We start from the raw sequence: 25,085 nt of genomic DNA, 5'->3' as shown, positions 1-25,085 counted from the left end.
ATAGATGCAAAAATACTAGCAAACTGAATTCAACAACACATTAAAAAGATCATTCATTATGATCAAGTGGGATTCATCCCAGAGATGCAAGGAAGATTTAATATATGCAAATCAATAAACATGATGCATCACATTAACAGAACTAAGAACAAACACCATATGATTATTTCAATGGATTCTGAAAATGCATTTGATAATATTTAACATTTCTTTATGATGAAAACCTTATCAAACTGGGTATAGAAGGAAATATCTCAAAATAATAAAGGCCGTATATGTCAAACCCACAGCTAACATCATATTGAACAAGGACAAATTGAAATCCTTTTCCCTAAGATCTGGAACAAATATATCCACTATCACAGTTTGTATTCATCATATTACAAGAAGTCCTGGCCAGATCAATTAGGCAAAGGAAATTAATATAAGGGACATCCAAATTGGGAAGAAAAAGGTCAAATTAGGTTTGTTCACAAATGACATGATGTTATATGTAGAAGCTCCACCAAAAAGCAGAACTGTTTTAATAAACGTATTCAGTAAAGTCACCAGGAACAAAATCAACATACAAAAATCAGTAGAATTTATGTATGCCAACAGCAAACAATCTGTAAAATAATTCAAGAATGTAATCCCATTTACAGTAGCTACAAAGAACATAAAATACCTAGGAATCAATTTAACCAAAGAATTAAAAGATCTGTACAAGGAAAGCTATGAAACAATGATGAAAGAAATTGAAGAGGAAACACAAAAAATATAAATATAATACATAGTCATTGATTGGAGGAACTAACATTGTTAAAATGGCAATACTACCCAAAGTGATCTAAGATTCAATGCAATTTCTATCAAATGCCAGACATTCTTCCCAAAAATAGAAAAACAACAATTAAACAAATTATATGGTACCACAAAAAAAAAAACCCAAATAGACAAAGCAATCCTGAGCAAAAAGAACAAAGCTGGAGACATCACATTATGTGATCTCAAAATATACTACAAAACTATATTAATCAAAACAGCATGGTGCTGGCATGAAAACAGACACATAGATTAATGGAACACAGAACCCAGAAACAAATCCATGGATTTATAGCCCACACACTTTTGATAAAGTCACCAAGAATATACAATGGGGAAGACAGTCATATGAAGAAAAAGGAATCTAGGCTCCTATCCATCACCATATAAAAAATTCAAATCAAAATGATTTAAAGAATTAAATCTAAGACCTGAAACAACTGAAAGAAAATATTGGGAAAATGATCCAGGACATTTGTCTGGGAAAAGATTTTTAAAGTAAGTCCTCAAAAGCAAAGACACAAAGCAAAGCTAGATATCAGGCTAAAAAGCTTCTGCACAGCAAAGGAAATAATCAACAAAGTGAAGATACAACCCACAGAATGGAAGAAAATGTTTGCAAAATACTCATCTGACAAGGGATTAATAATCAGAATATAGTAGAATATTTTAGAATTGCTTGCTAGTAATCAATACATATATAAAAAATATATATACATACATATACATATATACACACATATATACATATACATATATACACATATATACATATGTATATATATAATATACACAGAAAAGACTTTTACTTGAGTGCCATCTTTGTCCTTATTAGGATATAGAAACTAAAAGCCAGGCCAGGCATTGACATATGGACGAAGATATGCAAAGGACTAAGACAGTATCTATCTCTTACAGTATGGAAAACTGTTTAGAACAGTAGACTGCCTCTAAGAGTAGTGAGAGTTTGCTTTATCTTGGCCTGCGCTCTGAAATCCTAGAGTTTAAGTCGCCTGGAGGCCCAGAAATGACTCCAGGTGGTAAAGGAACAAGGGGCAAACTCTCTCAAATCCTTCCCTCTTTCAATAAGAGAAATTCCAGTTTTCACTCTTTTCTATTTTTGGTTTCTCTAAAGATTTTTTTTGAAGAAAGGCTTCAAATTTTTTTTTTTGAGAGGATTTGTTTAAACAGCATGATATCATGAAACTCAATCATGTATATTAAAATGTAAAGAGCTAATATTTTCTAACTTCTTTACCTTTCACATAACTGGGACTATAAATTCTTTGGATAGACTAATGAGATTGAAGGGTAGAGTAATTTCTGATATCCTTGCACTATACTTTAATAATGTTTCTAATTTTGTATAAAACAATAAAATTTGTTAATTTATAGGGCTTTTTTCCCTTGAAAGATGAAAATTATTTTCAGAATTATAGAAATAAACCTAGGTCACTCAATATTTGTTACTTTGTTAAAAAGTAAGCAAAGGAATCTTGTCAATTTTTACTCCAAGAACACTTCCTAGCTCTTCTTTGTCAATTACAGTTTTTCCTTTGTCTATTGATATGGTTTGGCTCTGTGTCCCCACCCAAATCTCATGCTGAATTGTAATCCCCAGTGTTGGGAGAGGGACCTGGTGGGAGATGACGGGATCATGGGGGCAGATTTCCCCCTTTCTGTTCTTGTGATAGTGAGAGTGTTCTCACAAGATCTAGTTGTTTGAAAGTGTGTAGCACATCTCCATTCACTTGCTCTCTCTCCTGCCCAGCCATGATAAGATGTGTTTGCTTTCTCTTCACCTTCCACCATGATTGTAAGTTTCCTGAGGCCTCCCAGCCATGCTTCCTGTACAGCCTGAGAAACTGTGAGTCAATTAAACCTCTTTTCTTCATAAATTACCCAGTCCTAGGAAGTTTTTTTATAGCAGTGTGAGAATGGACTAAGAAATCTGTCTTGATTTGCTTCTTCCCTAAATAAGCGTGTCTGGCAACCTGTGGCCAAGTACCACAAAAATATAAACCAGAAAAAATATTTGGTCCTGTGAATAGAGACTAAAAAAACAGATTTGGAAATATGAAGCATAAAAGTTTTAGGGAGCATAAAGGGTCACAATGTCTTACCCATTATCTATTTCATTTGTTAGGCAAAGTTACATAGTTTGAGATATATACATATATATGATGTACAATAGGCTGTTTTGGTATACATATACATAGTGAAATGGTTACTACAGTTAACAAATTAACCTATTAATCACTTTCTATAGTTACCTTTGTGTGTGTGTGTGTGTGTGTGTGTGTGTGTGTGTGTCAGTGGTAAGAGCATCTAAGATATACTCAGCAACTTTTCAGTATACAATATTAACTCTAGTGATCATGTTGTATATTAGATCTCTAGACATATTCATTCTAATAACTGCAAATTTGTACCACTTTTCATTTTCTTCCCCTCCCTGTCCCTAGTAGCCAAATTTCTACCCTTTGTTTTTATGCATTTGATTTTTTTTAGGTTGTACAAATATGTGAGATCACAGAGTATTTGTTTCCTTGTGTCTGGCTTATTTCGCCTAGTGTAACATCTTCCAACTTTATCCACGTTGTCACAAATGGTGACATCTCCTTATTTTTAAAAAATATGTATCACAATTCTCTTATCCATCAACTGATGCTTAGATGATTTCCATATCTGGCACTATTGTGAATAGTGCTGCAATAAATATGGAAGCAGAGATATCTTTATGAGATGATGATTTTAATTACTTTGGGTATATACCCGATAGAGGGATTGCTGGGTCATATGGAAGTTCTATTTTTAATTTTTTGAGGAACCTATATACTATTTTCCATAATGGCTGTGCCAATTTATATTTCTACCAACAGCGTACAAGGGTTCCCTTTTCTCCACATCTTCACCAGCACCTGTTATCTCTTTTCTTTTTGATAATAGCTATCCATACATGTGAGGTGATAGTTCATTATGGCTTATAATTGCATTTTCCTGATTATTAGTGATTTTGAGCACTTTATCTTACACCTGTTAGATGTTTTTAATCTTCTTTGGAAAAATGCCTATTTAGATAATTTGCCCATTTTAAAAATCAGGTTTTGTTTTTGCTATTGGGTTGTGTGAGTTCCTTGAATATTTTGGATATTAACCTCTTATCAATATCTCACACATTATCTTACACCATATACAAAAATCAACACAAAATGGATAAAAAATCTAAATGTAAGACCTGAAATCATAAAACTCTTAGAACAAAACACAATGGAAAAGTTTCTTGATGTTGTTGGCACAACACCTAGAAAGCCCAGCAAAAGAAACAATCAACAAAATAAAAGACAACCTACAGATTGAAAGAAAATATTTGCAAACCATAGTTTGATCTTAAACATAGGGAAGAAAATAGGAATCTAGAAGGAGAATTTGAGATGATATCCATCTGTCTTAAGTTTACATGCAAGAGGAGTTTTAGAAGGGGCATAACACAACCCTAGAAGGAAATGCCAAGTAAATGAGGTGTCTTTTGTAATCACTATAATTCCACCACTCCAGTACCTAAGTACCCTTCAAACCCAGTTTTCTGCTAAATTATTTCTGGTACAATAAAATGATTACCATTAAGATGCAAAAAGAGGAGATCATGAAACCTTTTCCAAGAAATACCATTTGACCCAGCCATCCCATTACTGGGTATATACCCAAAGGACTATAAATCATGCTGCTATAAAGACACATGCACACGTATGTTTATTGCGGCACTATTCACAATAGCAAAGACTTGGAACCAACCCAGATGTCCAACAATGATAGACTGGATTAAGAAAATGTGGCACATATACACCATGGAATACTATGCAGCGATAAAAAAGGATGAGTTCATGTCCTTTGTAGGGACATGGATGAAACTGGAAATCATCATTCTCAGCAAACTATCGCAAGGACAAAAAACCAAACACCGCATGTTCTCACTCATAGATGGGAATTGAACAATGAGAACACATGGACACAGGAAGGGGAACATCACACTCTGGGGACTGTTGTGGGGTGGGGGAAGGTGGGAGGGATAGCATTAGGAGATATACCTAATGCTAAATGATGAGTTAATGGGTGCAGCACACCAGCATGGCACATGTATACATATGTAACTAACCTGCACATTGTGCACATGTACCCTAAAACTTAAAGTATAATAATAATAATAAAGAAATTATATGTTGAATACATATTTAAACATGTGTAAGGAAAAGAGACAGGAAAAATCTGTTATATACCTACACTATGCTAGACACTTCTCAACTTAGTTCTCTAAGATTCACAATAGTTCTATAAGACATGTCATTGTCTTATTTTTACAGATTAATACAGCAAATCTCAGAGAAATATCTTGTCCACTGTCAAACAGTTGATAAGAAGCCAAACCTGACTTTGAGCCCAGAACTTGGTGAGTAGAAGACTCATGTTTTACATGAATTCCTAGTGCCAATCCAATATAAAATTCAACTAAAACCAAGACTAATTCTAATAGCAGGTAATTCAGGCACTGTTGGTAGCTGGTTTGGTGTTGGAGGTGTCACTTTAATCAATATATATACACAAGTTTATATATGATTTATACATGATTTATATATATGATACATCTATATATAGAGATATATATGTTTCATTTCCCTGACCCATATATCATATCACTTTGAGGGGAGTATGTGTTCACAGTAGAATTAGAAGTGGTATACACTCCCTAGAAACCACCTACCAAAATTGTGTAGTCTCAGGACAGAGAAAAGTTAAAATATATTGTACATACAGTTGCTTTTTTCTTCAATTAAACATATACATGATCGGTAGGTTAAAAAAAAAATAGGAGCATATAAACGTTTTAGGCTTCTTCCAAGACATGACTGTCTAAATCTTAGTAGTTTTCTCTCTGGTGCAAAATTGAGCTGACATACTTTCATTAAATATAATAATTTCCTTAAATTAAAAAAAGAAAAATGTCTTATGCAGTTCCAAATTGCTTTCCTGGGTGTTTTCATCTTGAAAACAGCAGGTGAATATGAACAAGTTCAAACCTATTTTTATTTTCTAGTAAATCCCAAATGCCTTAGCTTTGCAAGCTAATAGCATCCAGAAAACATGCTGATGTTGGCAGTAAAGAGAGCCCTGAGAGACACCAGGCACCAGGCTGAGTGAAAGAACACAGCATTGGGTTTTTAAAAGAAAAATTTAAAGTAATCAATATAAATATTAAAACTTTAAGGTTCATCTCTTCCTAATTCCCAAATTTGAAATAATATATACTAGATGAATTAACCTGAATTTCTTTTTTAGCCTAGATCAAAATGCATTTCAAACTAAAACCAGTTGAAGTGATATAAAAAGCACCAGATATATACAGTGCAATTAACAAATAAAATTTGATCATCCAAATATTTGTTTTATGAATGTATATATAATTATATAAGTATATATATATACATACATTTATATGTATATAAATTTAAAGCAGCCACGACTAATTATGAAACTGGAAATAATCCAATGCCATTACCTCTATAAAGTTGACAATCTAAATTCTAGATTCACACAATTTTTTTAAGAATGTGCTGCTTGAATTTTGTGACCCTTAGTAAAACTTATCTTCCAAAGAAAAATAAATGAAGATTTTACTTATTTTCTGTCTTTTCGATTACGTTCTTAAAAATAGTCTTCACTTTTCCCTCATTTTGATGTTTGCTTTTTTGATTATTTAGGTACAAGAAAATTTCTTGTAATTACAATATAAATAATAGATTTTTAGAATGAACTTAATTTCCCATTGGGCTGTTGAACAAATGATTAATATTGCTGGTTTTTGCACTATATGTAGCTTGAAAGCACTGACATTTTGTACACTTACTATAGTATGAATAATTCTTATATTAAAACAACACACTACTCTTAGATGGCAGAGGAAATATATATGTACGTATTTTTTAATACATAGCTGGGGATCAAAGGAAACTTTATCTTTTGCAAAGATGACAATGATGACAGTAAAAATGAAATTTCCCTGTGGAAGAGCCATATAAGCTTTTAGAAATGGATATATCTTTAATAAGAGAGAAATGGTTAGAGTAAGCAAAACTATAAACACCTATAAGAGTAATGATCATCAAATTCTATATCAAAGAGCAGACACAGCATGGAGATATTTCAAGTACACAACAGAATATCTTTTCTTCAACCTTCATTTGGTACATATTTGGGCAAGGTTACAGAGAAATGTGGGGACCTAATTCAGCTCATAGCAATGTTTCAGAAGTTGAAGTCCCAGCTTTGTTGACAGATAGATGAGTTGGGGATGCTGTTTACTTTTCATGCAGTGGTCAGGGAATGAGTTATAACCTTAGTGGAGTGACCTTAGAAGCCAGGGAAGTCTAAGAGCTTGCAATACTTCTCTAAACAGTTTCTTTTTTTAGTATAATCTCATCTTTGTCAAATAGAAATGGATCTCCCTTTCTATGGTTCCCTGCTATATATTCAAAAATATGCTAAAGATATACTACCCTTGCCTTCAATGACTAATCCATTAATGTTGATGAAAAGATTATTCACAACATATCAATGGAAAAAACTTTCAATATATCAAGCTACATATGAAGCAAAAAATGGCAGTATCAGTCATTCATTCAATATCTCCATACAAAATTAGGTTCACTCCAAAATCTATTATTTAGGCTGTAACTTTAAGAACATTTCTTGGAGAGATTGCAAAGGAAATTTCTTGCACATAAATAAGTGCACAAGCAATGATTCCATGGAAATATATAGAGACCAAAAAAAAAGGTACATAATTTTACTTTCTGGATTTATGCTTCTGGGGCCTTTGGGACATTCAGGTTGATATTTGCAAATGGTTGTGGATATTCACTTATAGAACTCAGATTCAGTTCAATGATCAGTTAACAAACATACCCAAATGTCAGAAATGTGCCTGGCATGCTGAAGGTTATTGTGATACACTGGTGAATTAAACAAAGTGTGAATCCTCTATAGGTTACAGGCTAGTGTGAAAACAGGATAATAAACTTATAATTTGAGAAAAGTACTTCAATTTTCTTAAATAAGTATATATCGTCAAAATGCTAACAGAAATATGAACTATTATGAGACCTACTCCATCTGGGGAATAAAAAAAGGCATCGCTGGGGCTTTGGCATTTATGATAAGACTAGAAAGAGATATAGACTTGCAGTATTTATTTGTATGTTAGATGATGGGGCCACAGTCATAGATGGAATTTCTCAGTAATAATGTTCAGAGTGAGGACAGAAAAACTAATTGCAGAGTCCTTGACTAATACCGGCATTGTATGTTGGAAAGAAAGTGAATGTAGAAAAAAGATGCCTTATAATGTAGGAGGAACAACTAGAGGTATAAAGAAAGCCAAGGGTGGAATTATAAAAAGGAAGAAGAGACTTAATAAGAGCGAGGGGATAACCAAATTTGACCAAGATAAAAACTGAAGAGAGGCCATTGGGTTTTACAAATAGAGGATGAAACAATAATCCTAAGAACATTGAACAGGAAAGTGTTGAGAGAGGAGTGCTAAAGCTAGATAGTATTGGGTCAAGGAGATGAGAAATATGAGACATTTAGTACAACTGTTCCTTCTACAAAACTGATTCTGATGATGATGATGATGATGATGGTAATAGTAATAGATGAAGAATAAGGAAGAGAAGACAGAATCTTATTATATCCCTTAACATAAATAAAAAATTTTAAAGTAATTTACATGTATTAACTTGTTTAATCTCTATAAATGTGGTTTGTTTACACGTGAAGACACTAAGGCATAGAAAGTTTAAGCAATTTGCCCAAAGGTCATAAAGCTAGTAAATCGAGGACCAGGAATTTGATCCAGGAGGTCTAAATCTAAGCTCTATGTCCTGTATCTTTATGCTACTAAAGAAGGAAAGGTACAGAATACTAGTTTACTGAATACTTACTATCCTGAGCACTTTACATACAGTATCTCAGCTAATATTAAAAGAATCCAGTGTGAAAGTTAAAATTGATATCTCCACATTAGAGATGAGGAAACCAAACCTTAGGAAAATTAGATAAGTTAAATAACTATAAAAGTCACATCCAGGTCTGCCTAATGTATTATTTCTTTCATATTTTCTACAACCTTTATTAGGTTTCTATCTGTTTCTGGACTTTAGATTCAAAAGAGTGAGTTAATCTTATTACTCTTTTAAACACATTATTATTATCTGTCCATCAATGCACTTAATTATTAACAATGTTTTAAGTAGAGTTGTACAGATTAACATGATTTACATATAAGTCACAAAATGCCATCAAGTGGCTGAATAACATACAGCAAAAATTTCCAGCTACTACTTTACTAAAATATTAGATGACCCAACTAGGCTTTTCCCTGACTACTTCACTTTATGATTCTTTGGGCAGGTCTGCTTAATTTCTTATCCATTTCCCCTTCCTGGGTATTTGAACTTTCTCTACCTCGTCTTTGGCATATTAACAAGCTCAAGAATTTCTCATATTTAAACACACACACATGCACACTATCCCATAGTGTTCATTTCATTTAGCTCAGTGCTTGCTATTTAACATTCCTAAGCTTCGATTTCCTTGTCTTTAATTGTGAACTGCTGTAAAATACAAATTATGACTCTGAAGGGACATTAAGTCTCTTAGTATAATCACATATCAATTATTCTTGGAAGCTGCAAAACCATTACAGATGTGTAATGGTTATCATATTATCAAACATGTAACTGTAATCCAACATAAATGATGCAATGAGTATGATGAATGAGTATGTAACAAATTTCTGAGCATATGCCCATGAGGTTGTCCCCAGTCCATATTCTCAAACTGCATAATATTAAAATCTTAGAGTTTTCCTCCTTCCTTGCAAATTTGTTATAAAACATAGTAAGTAGGGGAAACTAACTATAAATTCCCAGAGACATTTAATTTGTTCTTTAAAGCCAACTGTCTATGAAAAATGTAAGATAAGACATTGATTTATAGTGAAAGGAAGGGGTTCAATTTCAATCTTCTGTATATGGCTAGCCAGTTATCCCAGCACCATTTATTGAATATGGAGTCCTTTCCCCATTGCTTGTTTCTGCCAGTTTTGTGGAAGATCAGATGTTTATAGGTGTGTGGCCTTATTTTGGGGCTCTGTCTTCTGTTCCATTGCTCTATGTTTCTGCTTTTGTACCAGTGACATGCTCTTTAGGTTGCTGTAGCCTTGTAGTACAGTTTAAATTCAGGTACAGTAATGCCTCCAGGCTTGTTTTTTTTTTTTTTTTTTGGCTTAGGATTGCTTTGGCTATTTGGTATCTTTTTAAATTCCACTTGAATTGTAAAGCAATTTTTCTTTCTAATTCTTTGAAATACATAATTAGTAGTTTGATAGGAATAGCATTAAATCTTTAAACTGTCTTGGGCAGGATGGCCATTTTAACAATATTGATTCTCCTATCTATGAACGTCCACCATTTTTCCACTTGTTTGTGTAATCTCTGATTTATTTGAGCAGTGTTTTGTAATTCTCATTGTCCAGGTCTTTTGCCTCCTTGGTTAGCTATATCCCTAGGTATTTTATTCTTTTTGTGGCTACTGTGAATGAGATTGTGTTCTTGATTTGGTTCTCAGCTTGGGCATTGTTGGTGTACAGGAATGCTAGTGATTTTTATACATTGATTCTGTATCCTGAAACTTTGCTAAAATTGTTTGTCAGATCTAGGAGCCTTTGGGCAGATACTATGGGGTTTTCTAGGTATAGAATCATATCATCTGCAAACAGGGATAGTTTGATTTCTTCTCTTCCTACTTGGATACCTTTATTTCTTTCTCTTGCCTGATTGCTCTGGCTAGGACTGTCAGTCCCAGATACAATAGGAGTGGTGAGAGTAGGCATCTTTGTCTTGTTCTGGTTTTCAAGGTGAATGCTTCCAGCTTTTGCTCCATTCAGGTTGACATTGGCTGTGGGTTTTTCACAGACAGCTCTTATTATTTTGAAGTATATTCCTTCAATGCCTAATTTGTTGAGGGTTTTTAACATAAGGGAATGTCAGATTCTATTGAAAGCATTTTCTGCATCTATGGAGGTGATCACATGGTCTTTTTTTAGTTCTGTTTATGTGGTGAATCACATTTATTGATTTGCATATGTTGAACTAACATTGCATCCCAGAGATAAAGTTGACTTAATTGTGGTGGATTCGTCTTTTGATGTGCTGCTGGATTTGCTTTGCTAGTATTTTGTTGAGTAATTTTGCATCTATGTTCATCAAGGATATTGGCCTGAAGATTTTGTGTGTGTGTGTGTGTGTGTGTGTGTGTGTGTGTGTGTGTCTGCCAGGTGTTGGTATTAGGATGATGCTGGCTTCATATAATTAGTTTGGGAGGAGTCCCTTCTCCTCAATTTTTTTTAATAGTTTCAGTAGGAATGGTACCACCTCTTCTTTATACATTTTGTAGAATTGGCTGTGAATCTGTCTGGTCTTGGGCTTTATGCCCACCAATGGTAGACAGGATAAAGAGAATGTGGTACATATACATCATGGAATACTATGTCCTTTTCAGCAACAATACAGCTGAAGTTTATTATCCCAAGCAAACTAACACAGAAACAGAAAACCAAACACTGCGTGTTCTCACTTGTAAGTGGGAGCTAAACACTGAGTACAAATGGACAGAAAGAAGGGAACAAAAAACACCAGGGCCTACTTGAAGGTAGAGGGTGGGAGGAGAGTGAGGATTGAAAAAGAAACTATCAGGTACTCTGCTTATTACTTGAGTGACAAAATAACCTGTACATAAACTTCCGTAACATGCAGTTTACCTATATAACAAGCCTGCACATTTACCCTTAAGCCTAAAATAAAAATGAAAGAAATAAAACACTGATTTACATGGGATTTTGTTTCATTTTATTACATGAACATTTTATTCATTTGAAAAATTAATCAAGTTCCCAAGTTCAGTATTAAATCTAATAATATAAAGATTTTATATAATTTATATAATTTTAATATAATTTGTATAATTTTCTTTGATATGAAATCATTACTTGACTTTTTTAGATAGCCTGTAAATACATCTGTATCTCTACATGGATAATAAGAAAGACAATATACTTTGTCAAACATCAATGTGCATTAATAGTAAACTTGTCAGAATGGTCATTTAATAACACCATTCATTTCAGGTCAATTAATACAACACTCTTTATTTGCACAAACATATAAATACAGAAATTACAATACTGAGCATAAGGTATATATTTCTCCTAGAGGTTTTGTTTATTTATAGTTATAAGAGAGGAAAGCCTACAAATATGTGGTCTAAGAACGTTTGAGATGCAAGGGTTGTTAAGCAACTGTTCAGTTTTGGTTTATTCCATATATTAATCTGCAAGTTAAGTATAATATATTATGTCATTACAAGAAACGGTGCATATTATGGAATATTTAACTCTATCTTTTTTATGAGCAGGGTGAAATAATACAGTCACATTTGACAGTGTCACTGACTGGTGAGGTAGACAAGATAAGCTCTTCAATCAAAAAACATATTAGAATTCTGTGAAAGGCAGGGATTGTAATGAAATGGCATGGGATTTTGCATTTGCCAGCTGTACTGTCATCCAGAAAAAATCTTTGAGCTTAGGTTTCCTTATCAATGAAATGCTGTGACGACTGACATAAAATTTACACATTTTGGTAAAAACTTAGCACTGGGTCTTGAATAGTAAGGGCACAGAGGTAGCCACTATTGTATTTTAACCCAGTAGGTTAATAACTTTAACATTATTAATTTTCATTTATAAATACATATTTCAATGTAATCTCATACTATCACATAACAACTTTAACATCAATTTTAACCACTGTTCAGAAATTCTAGTTGACTTTTTAAAAATAACTTTTTATTTTGCAATAGTTTGAGACACATAAGAAATTGCAATAGTTCAGAGTTCCCATATACCCAGTACCCAGCTTCCCCCAATGTAGTATCTTACATAAACATAATATATTGTCAAAACCAGTAAACTGACGTTGGTATAATATTATTAACTCAGATACAGACCTTTGAATCGACTTTCAGCATGTATTATTTTGTGTATTATTCTCATTAATATAATATATGCCAAAGGCATGAATACATGTATAAATCAGGCTGTCAGCCAGATTGAACTATTTAAAGCACTCATAGCCATAGCCAAGATGCAGCATGTATCAAGCCTATGGTTTGGAGGAATCATCTAGCTAGACCAAATCATTTTTCTATCATGATCGGAAAATTGTTTGCACTTTAACAGTATTTTGGTATTTTCATTTGAACACATGATATTTGGTAACAAATCTTGGCACTTATCAGCTGAGTAAATTTGGGCAGGTATTTTAATTTTTCTTTGCCTCAGTTTCCTTTTCTAGAAAAAGACCATGATATTATACTACCATATTGTTGTTTTGGTAAAATAAGCTAATATATGAGTGCTGGTAATTTATCTATTGTCTTTTAGCTCCAGGCTTACTATTCTATTCTCTGCCCTGTGATACTGAGACAAGGACTCTGAAAAATAAGTGTCTCAAACTTCTGTGTCAGAGGAAGGCCAAACACATCTATACTAGTTACGTTCTTCCATTGTAAAATCCAAGCAGGAAATTGGAAGATGAAAGGATGGGAGAAGATGCTATCTTCATGTTTTCTTTTTCTTTTTCTTTTTTTTTTTTTTTTTGAGACGGAGTCTCGCTGTCTCCCAGGTTAGAGTGCAGTGGTGTGATCTCGGCTCACTGCAAGCTCGGGCTCCTGGGTTCACGCCATTCTCCTGCCTCAGCCTCCCGAGTAGCTGGGACTACAGGCGCCCGTATCTTCATGTTTTCAAGTGTTGGTCAGTACATTTCATCAGCCAGCTTATAGCATTCTTCCCTTGACCCTGCAGGAGTTCCAACAACATCAGCACTGCACCCCTTTGACAATTAAAGTGCATCTTGGCCCATATTTCCTCTCCTAGAGAGTGACTGACACAACCTCACACTGAGCATTTACTGACTTAGATCCCTTTTTCAGATACATGAGCATCAACTGTGTCATTTTCCCCAGAGAGTCAAGAACCATCCCTGTAGGTCCTACTGAGTCCCAGGTTCTGTTCATGCCACTTCTTCCTTTGTGTTCCCTCAGATCTAGTGGCAGTAGCTGTTTTATGCAATATTCTAGATGAATCCCGCATTGTTTTTGGTTTTTTAGCTTCCTAATACTTTTCTAACCAATTTTGTGTATTAAATTCATTTTTGATACACCTAATGGGGCTTGGTATCCTAATTGGACTTATAGTACTAGGTACTGTACTACCACAATAATACTACACTACTTGGTTTCAGGAGTAGTACCAGGGAGAAAGATACACAAATCTAGGATTTGGTATTGGTTTGTTTGTGTTTGACCTGGAGTCAAAGCCAGTTTTGGCTGCGCTACTGGACAATGGCAATGGGAAGTAGTATTCCAAAAATCTCACATGCAGTAGCATCACCAATAATTAAATTATCACCACAAGTTGTCTGGGGCAAGATAATCAGTTAAAAATCAATGCTTTGAGGCCAGGCGCCGTGGCACATGCCTGTAATCCCAGCACTTTGGGAGGCCGAGGTAGGCGTATCACTTGAGGTCAGGAATTTGAGACCAGCCTGACCAATATGGTGAAACCCTGTCTCTACTAAAAACACAAAAATTAGCCAGGAATGGTGGTGCGCACCTGTAATTTTAGCTGCTTGGGAGGCTGAGGTGGAAGAATTGCCTGAACCGGCAGGCGGAGGTTGCAGTGAGTGAAGATCACACCACTGCACTGCAGGTTGAGAGGCAGAGCAAGACTCCATCTCAAAAAAAAAAAAAAAAAAGATCAGTGCTTTGAGAAAACAAGTGACCACTGAATTTGACTGTGATGGTAGAAATTCTAATGATAAAGACTGTAAGGCACGATTGCAGTTTCTAACTACACTGTAGAGTTTAAGAAAAGAAAATGAAAAACTGAGGGATTTAAATGATCAGTTAATAATATATCAGAGAACCAGAGACCCTTTGTGATAACCTTAAATTAATCTCAAATTTTTATAGCCAAAGTGAATATATAGCTAAAAATCAGACCTATATTTTAAATATATAGGTTACAGAAATTATATGTAAGTCTCTTTTGTGATTATTGAGGCGTTGATTAAGAAGTAGTGGGATCTTGAGGCTTGGAATAGTAACATTAGTTCTATTAGAATAAAACTGAGAATTTTAAACTGCTAAGCCTTTTGACTCACCCTTTCTGACAGAAGCAGCCCAGCCCCTTCTCACTTGAATGTAGATACTTGTCTTCCTGTGCTTAAAGATCTTTATAACCAAACTTGAAGTTGTTGCCTTGCAAGAGGGAAGTTATTTTCCTGAAGACCTAGTGTATTATCTCATTGCTTTTAGATTTGTAGTGTTGGATCTCAGCATGCTCCAGGGAGGATAAGTGCAAAGTCTGACATACAACGAAACATCTTATACTCCAGAAGAATTGTAAAACTGTAATTTTTTATATGTAGAATCCTGAAGAACACATGTATGATTGTCAATTTTAGATGTCAGCTTGACTGGATTAAAGGATACACAGTTGGTGAAGCATTATTCCTGGGTTTGGCTCTAAAAGTTTTTCCTGAAGAAATTGGCATTTGAGTCAGTGGACTGAATAAGGAAGATTCACCCTCACCCGGTGTAGGTGGCACCATCCAATCCTCTGAAGGTCTGGATAGAACAATAAAAGACAGAGGAAAGGCAAATTCTCTTCCCTGACCCTCTCTTTCTCTCCCTATTTAAGCGGAGACATCCATTTTCTCCTGCTCTTGGACATCAGAACTCCAGGTTCTCTGGCCTTTAGACCTTAGGACTTGCACCAGTGGCCCTCAGAGTCTCAGTCTGAGGCCAAAGGCATGAGATTTATACCACTGGCTACCGTGGCTCTCAGTCCTTCTGACTTGGACTGAGCCACACTACTGGCTTCCGTGGTTCTCCAGTTTGCAGATGGCCTATTGTAGGAATTCTCAGATTCCATAATCATGTGAGCCAATTCCCTTATAAAATCTCCTCTAATCTATCTATCTGTCCATCTTTCTTTCATTCTATCATCTATTTATCTGTCTCCTGTTGGTTCTGTTTCTCTGGAGAACCCCTACCAATGCAACATGTGTTAGTTCAAGCAGGAACGAGCATACCTTTGACTGGTCCAATTTATAGGTATAGTAGCACATGAACAGATATTTTGGATTTAATGTATTAGTTTAAGGAGTTTGCTTGAATGTTTGGCTGAAACCCTTGGTCAGTGGTAGCCTAATGTTAATAAGAGTAAGGTGCTAAAACTTCCCTGGGATAATACAGAGAAAAAAATCCAAAGGCTTAAATAAATGAAAATGCAGAGGTAGATTTTATCATCTGCATTCTGCATATTAATTCCCTATTATATACCCTGAGAAAGACCAGAAGGTCTTCTTTCAGTAAAGCAGCGGGAAATAAGGGGGTATGAGCATCCTTGAAAAGCTCTGGGTGGCTGTCTCTGTAGGCTGAGGATAATGATGAGAGTTGCTGCCATTGAGATGAGTTCCCTAATTTCAATCAGAATGATGGGACCCCAACTGATATAATAGGCAAGCTCTCTAGTAGAATACCTGTCATAGAGTAAATAATCTATAAATTTTGACTAACATCAATCATATATTTTTAGTTTCCTGATTGAAGAATATTACCTTCCATTTTGCTAACATGAATGCTGTTATAGTCCAGTACAATTACCAATAGTAAAGATATTCCATTGGATATATAATATACTTTATATATTTAATTTATACTTTATATAAATTAAATTATGCATCTATACATTCTTAGCATTCTCAGTTAAAAGATGAGAAATACTATTGCCAACTACAGGTAAAAGAAATGAATGTTCAATTAGGTTGTTTAAATGCTTTAATATTTATGAAAGGAATGGATATTTTCAATACATAACTGGTAATTATTTATAGGAGTGGCTGAACTTGTTCCTCTAATTTAAGGACAATAGGCCTCTATTTTATTCATCTACATAAGTGGTCATGATAGAGGCATCTTGAAGATTTGTGAAGGTATTCTTAGCTATTACAGTAATAGAGATGAGATGCTACTGGCATTAGTGAATAGGGGCTAGGGATGTTATACTTCCTGTAAATCAGGGAACTATATTCTGTCCAACATTATTTTTAAATATCCTGCCATATTAAACCCACTACAAATATATATCAATAATATCTAATTTTAAAATAAGTTTTATCAAGTTCAATTTTAATAAGAATTCCAAGACTAGACAGAAAGCTTGTCATGAAGAAGAAAGCTTAATTTTTGAGAAGACATTTTCTTAAAATTATTGAATAATGTATTAACTTGTACCATACTGTTTATTCTACTGTATTATGGCATTGGCAACTAAATAAAAATTGAAAATATTTTAGCCTGATTACACACTTAGTACAAAATCAGTAAGTCCTATTGAAAATATTTAACAGAGAAATATGTTTTTAATAAACTTAAAATGAAGTATTTTTAAATTAGCATGGAAACGTCAGACCCAGAGGTTCTTTATATTTCACTAATAGATATTATTATAAAAATCTTACATTATTTCTAGCCTCCTGACTTCTAATTTATTTAGCATTGTAATGGAACATCTACAATAAGATTATTTATTGAGATTATTTTTAAAAGCATACTTGGAGCTTTATGTTTTTAATCATACAGATAGATTATATTACTTATAAATTTTATTTCAGAGTAGTCAAAGGCAGCATTGGGTCTTACACGGTCCAGGCCTACCGCTGTGTATGTAATACTATATTAACATTTTAAGGTTCTTGTTATATGCTATGCACAGGGCTACTAACTATTCATGTGAAACCTCTATTGATTCTCATAACTAACATTTTGAAATCAATGCTTCTATTACTCATTTATGCTGTCGGCCTCAAGTATTTTAATGTAACAAATATTTTAACTTAACACGTTCAAAACTGAACTCCTGAACTTTCTCCCCAAACTGACCATCTCAGTTAATGGGAACACAATGCTTCAAGGAGGAATGAACAAAAACAAAACATCGAAATCAAAAAAACAAATACAAAGAAACAAAACACAAAACAGAACAATAACAACACTTCGATCCATGTTTGACATGTCTTATTCTTATAACTCCATCTGTTAGGAAATGATATTGACTCTCTATTCAAATAACACTCAAAATACAACCAGAATCCTGCCACTTCCTAACATCTCCATGCTACTTTGGCTCAAGAACCATTTTTTCTCTCTCTCTTTCTCTCCTTAATTATAGCAATATGCTTCTAACTGGTTTCCTTGTTTCTCTACTCTTGTCTCTGAATGTCTATTTTTGATACAGCAGTGGCCCCTTTAAAACATAATTCAGATCATGACCTGTTCCTGCTTAAAGTGCTCCATGACAACTTTCAGATCATGACCTGTTCCTGCTCAAAGTCTTCCATGAAATCTTTTTATTCTATCTTGAGGTAAAAGCAGAAATCCTTACAATGGCCTGCAAGGTCCTGTATTACTGGCACCTGTAAACTCCATAATTTTATATTGTATTTCTCTGCCCTTGTCACTTCACTATGAATACACTGACCATCTTGCATATCTTCATTCACATCTTAAGGTCTTTGAATTCACTGTTTCCTCTGTCTGAAGGCTACTTCCACAAGAATTGTTCTTCACCTTCAAGTTTTTGCTCAAATGTTTCCTTTTCCTTGAAGATTATGTTGGCCAGTCTTCTAAAAATTGTGAAGACATATTTCTCAGCACTAGTGCCCTAAACCCTGCTTATTTTTTTCACCCCACAGGTTTTCTTTTGACAAAGGTTTTGCTTTGACAAACCTACATATACTGTTTGTAAAAGCAAAAATTGAAGTAAAGTTAAATAGGTAAGAATGACTTCATTCAAGGCTATTGCAATAAGGTAGAGATACCAAAGCACAGTCTGAACTCAATTATACTGAAACAGAGGACTGGAGAGTTTTTAAGAGCTGGAGTGGGAGAAATCAAAGGCCCTCTGTGTTAGCTAATTGAGCTTACTGTAAGAAAAAGTAAAGTTTTTTAAATTTTCATGCTGTGAGGTAGTATTACAACTTGAACCAAGGCACCCACTTAAGTCAGGCTCCTACGCTCCCAAAGAGAGCAGGAGATAGAGACACTATCTTTCTTGACAATTACATTTGAAAGTGTAAAGAAAAAAATTTTCAAAAAAAGATAGCCCTGGGTTGTAAAACTGGCAAAAGGCTATAAGAATACTTATATCTAAAAGAAGCAGATAAGGAATTTGCAATTATAAGTTTTCTAAAGTAAATGCTCTAAGACAAAGGAGTGGAGGAACCTCAGTGGTTAGGTCATCTGGATTCTGTAAGGACCTGGGAGAAAGGGCAGTTGGGGGCCTTGGTGCAAGAAGAAGACTGTCTAAAGTTTAGTCAAGCTGAGGAGAATGGTAAGGCTGTCTTGGTTATTTTAGGTTGTCTGTTGCCCCTCACCCTCAAATATGAAGCAGGGTAATTTTGTCTGTTTTGTTCACTGCTGTTTAAAAAAATACTGGGAAAAATTCCTTCTGCTGGATGGGACTGAGGTAATGATACAATTTGTGCATTTTAATATGGTACAATATTTAATGTAGAGAAATAATTTGGTCATGAAAAGGTATTAACTTAAAAGACTAATATTGGAAAAGATAAAGTTTGATTAATTTATAATTGTTGAAGACTAGACGTGTAAATACTAGAAAACACTAGTGGACATGTTTTATTTAACATGTTTTTCAATCTGTTTGTCCATCTGGTTCTCTAACCAGCATTTGTTTCCTATCATACTGGGAACTCAAATAGAGAATTTGATTGAATTAAAAGATGCATAATTCTTTGTTTACTATAATATCATTTTGTTTATTTCTTATACTTTTTTTTAAGTCCTGATCATCAGAGCACACTGATCATCAGAGCACACTGATATGGTGATGGAAAGGCTTTTCTATGTACCAGAAGATTTTATTTGTGCAACTAATTTAAACAAATTGAATAACTGCAGTCTTAACCTACCACTTGACTATATTTATGAGCTGTCAAGAATGTAATGATACGACAAAGCAGGCAGTTGTGAAGTTTATACATAAACTCTGACTTAAGATTGACTTTAGAAAAAGGCAGATATAAATATTAGGGAAAAATTATATATTCCCTCAGATGTAAAATTTGCAGGTAAAGAAAGGCATATTTAAATAATATAAACAGTGCTAAATTCAAAGCATACTTATGATCAGGAGATAAGGCATCATGTGGCCCAGCTATTTTAGATTTTCTTTTTCCATCTTGATACTACAGTATGTAGATATTAATAAAAAATAAAGAAATTCTATAATTTATTAAAGTATTGTTTTATTTGTAACATTCATGAGTTTTAGGGTTTATTACAAATATTTCTATTTTGAGAAGCCCAACAGTCCTATGATGATTTGAGCTTAGAATATGTGTAAACCATTCATGTTCACAATAATGTACAATTTTGTATATATTTTAGATATTAAACACAATAGGAAAACTTCATGTATATTACTTCTGAAACAAAGGATGGTATTAAACCGGAACAGAGCTTGTTGGTGAAAGTTCCTGGTATTTTATAAAAATAAAAAAATGAGACTCCAAACTGTTAAGGAGTTTGTGCAAGGTCACATAATTAGTTAAATGAGAGAGGGTCTAGAGTAAAGGTTTCTAGTCTGCTCTGGTGTAGTCATCGCATAGTGCTCTTGGTAAGTGCTGTAATGAAGTACTCATGTGGCTTAAGAAAGCTTATGCCAGTGCTGAGTTCTCATTTATTTTGTGCTCCATATCAGTTTTAAAACTTCTCTTCTGGTCCTCAAAGGAAGGGCATACTTTGTTAAAGGAAATTAATATTACCATCATCATCCAATATTATCTTCAGGAGACAAAGCCACCCCCATTATTCAAATCCTCAGATTCTTATATTCGGAATAGGCATATTCTAATTATCAGCAAATTGTTAACCTTACAGATTCCTCTTTAATTGCTCTTAATTCTTAATTGATGAGCTATAAATACTCAAAAGAGCTTTTAAATGAGACCTACACTTATTTCTCCTTGAGAAAAGAAGGATTACAACACAATTTGACATGTTATGAAATATTCATCAGTAAGGTAGCCTCTTTGCTATTGAAAACAAAAAGAAGAGGAGGCTTGGATTCTGTAGTTTAGCTACAGAAATGAATTTCAAATGCATGTCAAAATGCTTAATTTTAACTCTTCTTCATTCTCTGAAACTCTCTAGAGGAAATCTGTATGAGTTATGAAAAAAACAGTGTTAAAATCGCAAAATTGATCTGAAGTTCAATAGCCAAATAGACCCTCCCCTGATGTCCTCTGATTGTGCAAGCTACTCTCAAATCTTCCACATTTTTTAAAGGACAGACATATGGAATACCTGAGTAATCTATATTTTTTTCTATAAAAATTATTTTAGAAGTGATTTCCACTCTGGATTTTGAGAAACAAAATGATATCTAATAGGTGATAAGAAGACATATGAAAACAAATTAAATAAAACCATTGGAACTGAATGCATTTTTTATTAGATATATAAATCTTCTGTTCTTTTATTAAGTCCTGAAAAGATTTATTAAATTTTCCTTGATTTGAGAAACACTTCAGAATTGTAATAAAAAAGATGGATGGATTTTAATCCAGTTTTCATAATGATACAATGGGTTGATTGCAGCATTTTGATGTGGGGAATATAAAGATATTATAAAGGAAGATTTATTTTTAAATTACAATTTTTGAAAGTTATAATAGATTCTGTAGTACATTCAATTGTCATTAACCACTGGGTTTCCTCTGTAATATTTGTCTATCAAATGATCAATTTTCAATTCAGATGAATTATCAAGAATACATTTTTTTAAAAAACATCAAAAACTATAAAAAATAAAGTATCTTGAAAACATTGCATTCTTGTTACATATAAAACCATAGGCATAATAAATAAAAAGTGATATTGCTATATTTACTGTAATTGTATTTTTGAGGCTGTTTTTTACATAATATCCTCTTTTTTGAGGCCTAAAGAAAAACATTTTCTCCATGTTTAAACCAAAATTTGTTGTGCTTTTCACAAAGCTCTCATATATTTTATCCCCCTGATGTTGTTAATTGTGTGTGTGTGTGTTTGTCCCTGAAAAACATAGATTCACATTTGTAACTCAATTCCAGTAACAGTAAAGGGCTATATTGTATTCCAGTGGGGATGGGGAAGGCACCATTCTGCTCCCATTGGTTACCAATAATTACCCAAATTACTCATGTTTCAGGTTTCATTTAGTAGTACTTCCTTTCCTCCCTTCTGACTTACTGATTCAGTCACATGAACTGAACTAGAACTATCTTCTTTCATCCATCTTCTTCCATTCACTCATCAAATATAAGTAGAGAGCCTACTACATGTCAAGCTCTCTTGGAGGTGTTGTAACTATAGAGGTAAAAAAAGTGGAAAATTCCTTCCCCTCATAAAGCTTAAAATCTAGAGAGGAAAGAAAGACAACAAACAAAGAAAAAATGTATTTTTCAACTGGTATTATGTACAATGACATTTACTAAAGAGGTGAAAGGAATATGGAGAGACGTATTAAAGGAATATTTTATACATGGTATTCATGAAAGTCCTCTCTGATTAGGTGACATGAGTAGGAACCTATAGGAAGAAAAGGTTTGAACTGTGGGGATTTTTGGGAAAATATGCTTGGCTTATTCAAGTAAAGCAAAGAAGTCAATGTGGCTAGAATGAAGTGAAGTAGGTGACAGTAATAGAAGAAAAACTTTCAGATTATGTATAATTTTATGAAGACTTTAGCTTTTCCTCTGAATGCTATAGTAAACTGTTGGAACGTGTTGAATGATAGAATGTTAACATTTGATGTATGTTTCTAAGGATCATTCTCAGTGCTGTTTGGAGAAGAGTCTTTAGAAGTGCAATGGTGGAGAATGGAGATCACTTAAGATACTACTGAAATTCTCCAAGCTGCTAGAAGTAAAGGTGGTAAGATGTAATTGAATCTTAGGTATATTTTGAAATTTGGTGATTGATTCAATGTAGAAAGTGAAAGAAAGATGTTTCAAGGACCACACCAGCTTTGGAGCCTGAATAACTGGTATAATGGAGTTGGCATGTATTGAGTTGGGGAGACTGTGAAAAGAGCACGTTTGGAACGAGTATTGAGAGTTTTTCTTTGGACATGCTAATTCTAAGATGCCTAATAGACTGTCAAGCAATTTTAGTAGTCATTTGGGTAAAAAGTCTAATACAAGGAATAAGTCTCAATTGGAAATATAAATTTGTAATCACCAAATTTACAGATGATTTGTAAAGACATGAGAGTGCATATAATTTATTCAGACAGCATAGATAGAGAAGATGTGGAAACCATACCAAAATTTAAAGTTGGTGAATAAAGGGGGACCAGCATTTTTAAAAAAATTAAAATAATTGATTAGAAGAAAAAATAAGAGAAAACAAATTTCCTGGATAAAATAATTGATAAAGTGATGGCATCTTAGTTTGAGTTCCCTTGAAAGCAGAGCCTGAGATAAGAACTGGGAAAGGATAGTTTATTTGGGACATTATCATGAAGCCAGAATGAGGGAATGGCAAGAATGATACAGGGAAAGATCAACATAGAGGTGCATTATTAATCTGGTTACCACTGTGGAAACTAGGGCTTCTCAGAATTATCAAAAGCTCCCCTTCCCCAGTTCCCATTGTCCACTGATGGAGGATTGCTCTCTGGAACATTGACTTCCCTATCTTACCAGGCTTCTTAAGTACATGGGCTCTTATGGCTTCATGAAGGCCCTGAGAATGAAAGCAGAATAACAGCTGGATTTAGGTTGAGGTGAAATAGTTCCAGAATAAGTCTGAACTTTCAAAGCATTGTCTAATGTTGCTGCAGCTGAAATCAGAGCTGGCAAGGGAATGGGATGTGGGGATAGGTCATGTGACACCAGGGGAAATTACTGAAATATCTGACTCAAAGTAGCTAATATTAGCATTTTACCCCCACAGCCACAGTGATGGATTTATGGCTGGCTGTATGACACAACCTGAGCCAGAGTCTTTCTCTAATTTTGTTTTAATTTGTCCTGTAAGGAAATTACCTTTGCTTTCTAGTTGTTTGTTTATGAGTTTGTAAACTCTTGGCCAACTAAAACCATTCCCCTATTACATGGAAATCACTATAGCCATAGGAAAAAAAATCAAGAAAAGAGAATAAAGAGACAACCGCAAATTGGGAGAAAATATTTACAAAGCATACATTTAACAAGGGGCTAATATCTAAAATATATAAGGAACTCAAACAACTCAACAGGAAAGAAACAAATAACCCAACTAAAAAGTTGGCAAAGGAACTGAACAGACATCTCAAAAAATAGAGATATGGCCAACAGCTGTATGAGAAAATGCTCAATATCTCTAATATTCAGGGAAATGTAAATTAAAACCACAATGAGATACCAACTCACATCTGTTAGAATTTCTATTAGAAAAATGACAAATGATAACAAGTGTTGGCAAGGATGTGGAAAATAGGGAACTCTTGTACACTGTTGGTGGAAATGTAACTTAGTACAGCTATTTTGGTATTATGGAGATTTCTCAGAAAACTAAAAATAGGATTACCATATGACCCAGCAATCCCATCTCTGAGTATACAGTGAAAGGAACTGAAATTAGTATGTTGAATAGATATCTGCATTCTTATATTTATTTCAGCATTGTTTACAGTAGCCAAGATATGGAAGTGTCCTAAGTATCCATCAATAGATGAATAAATAAAGAAAATGTGATATGTATACACAATGGAGTATTATACAAACTTAAAACAGAAGGAAATGCCATCATTTGTAACAACATGGATGGAACTGGAGGATGTTATGCTAAATTAAATAAGCCAGGTACAGAAAGAAAAATACTGTATGATTTCATTTACATGTGTCATCTAAGAAAGTCAATCTCATAAAAACAGAATAGAAGGGTGGTTACCAGAGGCTGGTCAGGGAAGAAGGAGGGATGGGGAAAGAGAAAATGTTTTCAAAATGTTCAAAGTCTCAGTTAGACTAGAGGAATAAGTTTGAGTGATA

The 25,085-nt window shown here is 34.0% G+C and overlaps 1 long non-coding RNA gene across 4 annotated transcripts in view; it reads left to right on the top strand.

Annotated features, from left to right (window-relative positions):
* Nucleotides 1-24,744, top strand: part of LOC105370481 (uncharacterized) — a 64,726-nt gene extending 39,982 nt beyond the window's left edge. For 2 of the 4 annotated variants that reach the window (XR_001750754.1, XR_943828.2), the window contains 3 exons: nucleotides 2,576-2,671; nucleotides 5,166-5,251; nucleotides 22,879-24,243. This is a non-coding gene — a long non-coding RNA (uncharacterized LOC105370481). Of the gene's footprint in view, nucleotides 1-2,575; nucleotides 2,672-5,165; nucleotides 5,252-22,878; nucleotides 24,244-24,717 lie in introns of those variants that run through there. The other 2 variants (XR_001750753.1, XR_001750755.1) reach the window with 2 other exon arrangements.
* The last annotated feature ends 341 nt before the right edge of the window (nucleotides 24,745-25,085 follow it).

Source organism: Homo sapiens, chromosome 14, assembly GCF_000001405.40.
Source record: "Homo sapiens chromosome 14, GRCh38.p14 Primary Assembly".
Taxonomy (NCBI): Eukaryota; Metazoa; Chordata; class Mammalia; order Primates; family Hominidae; genus Homo; species Homo sapiens.
This window is presented reverse-complemented; position numbering and strand designations above follow the sequence as displayed.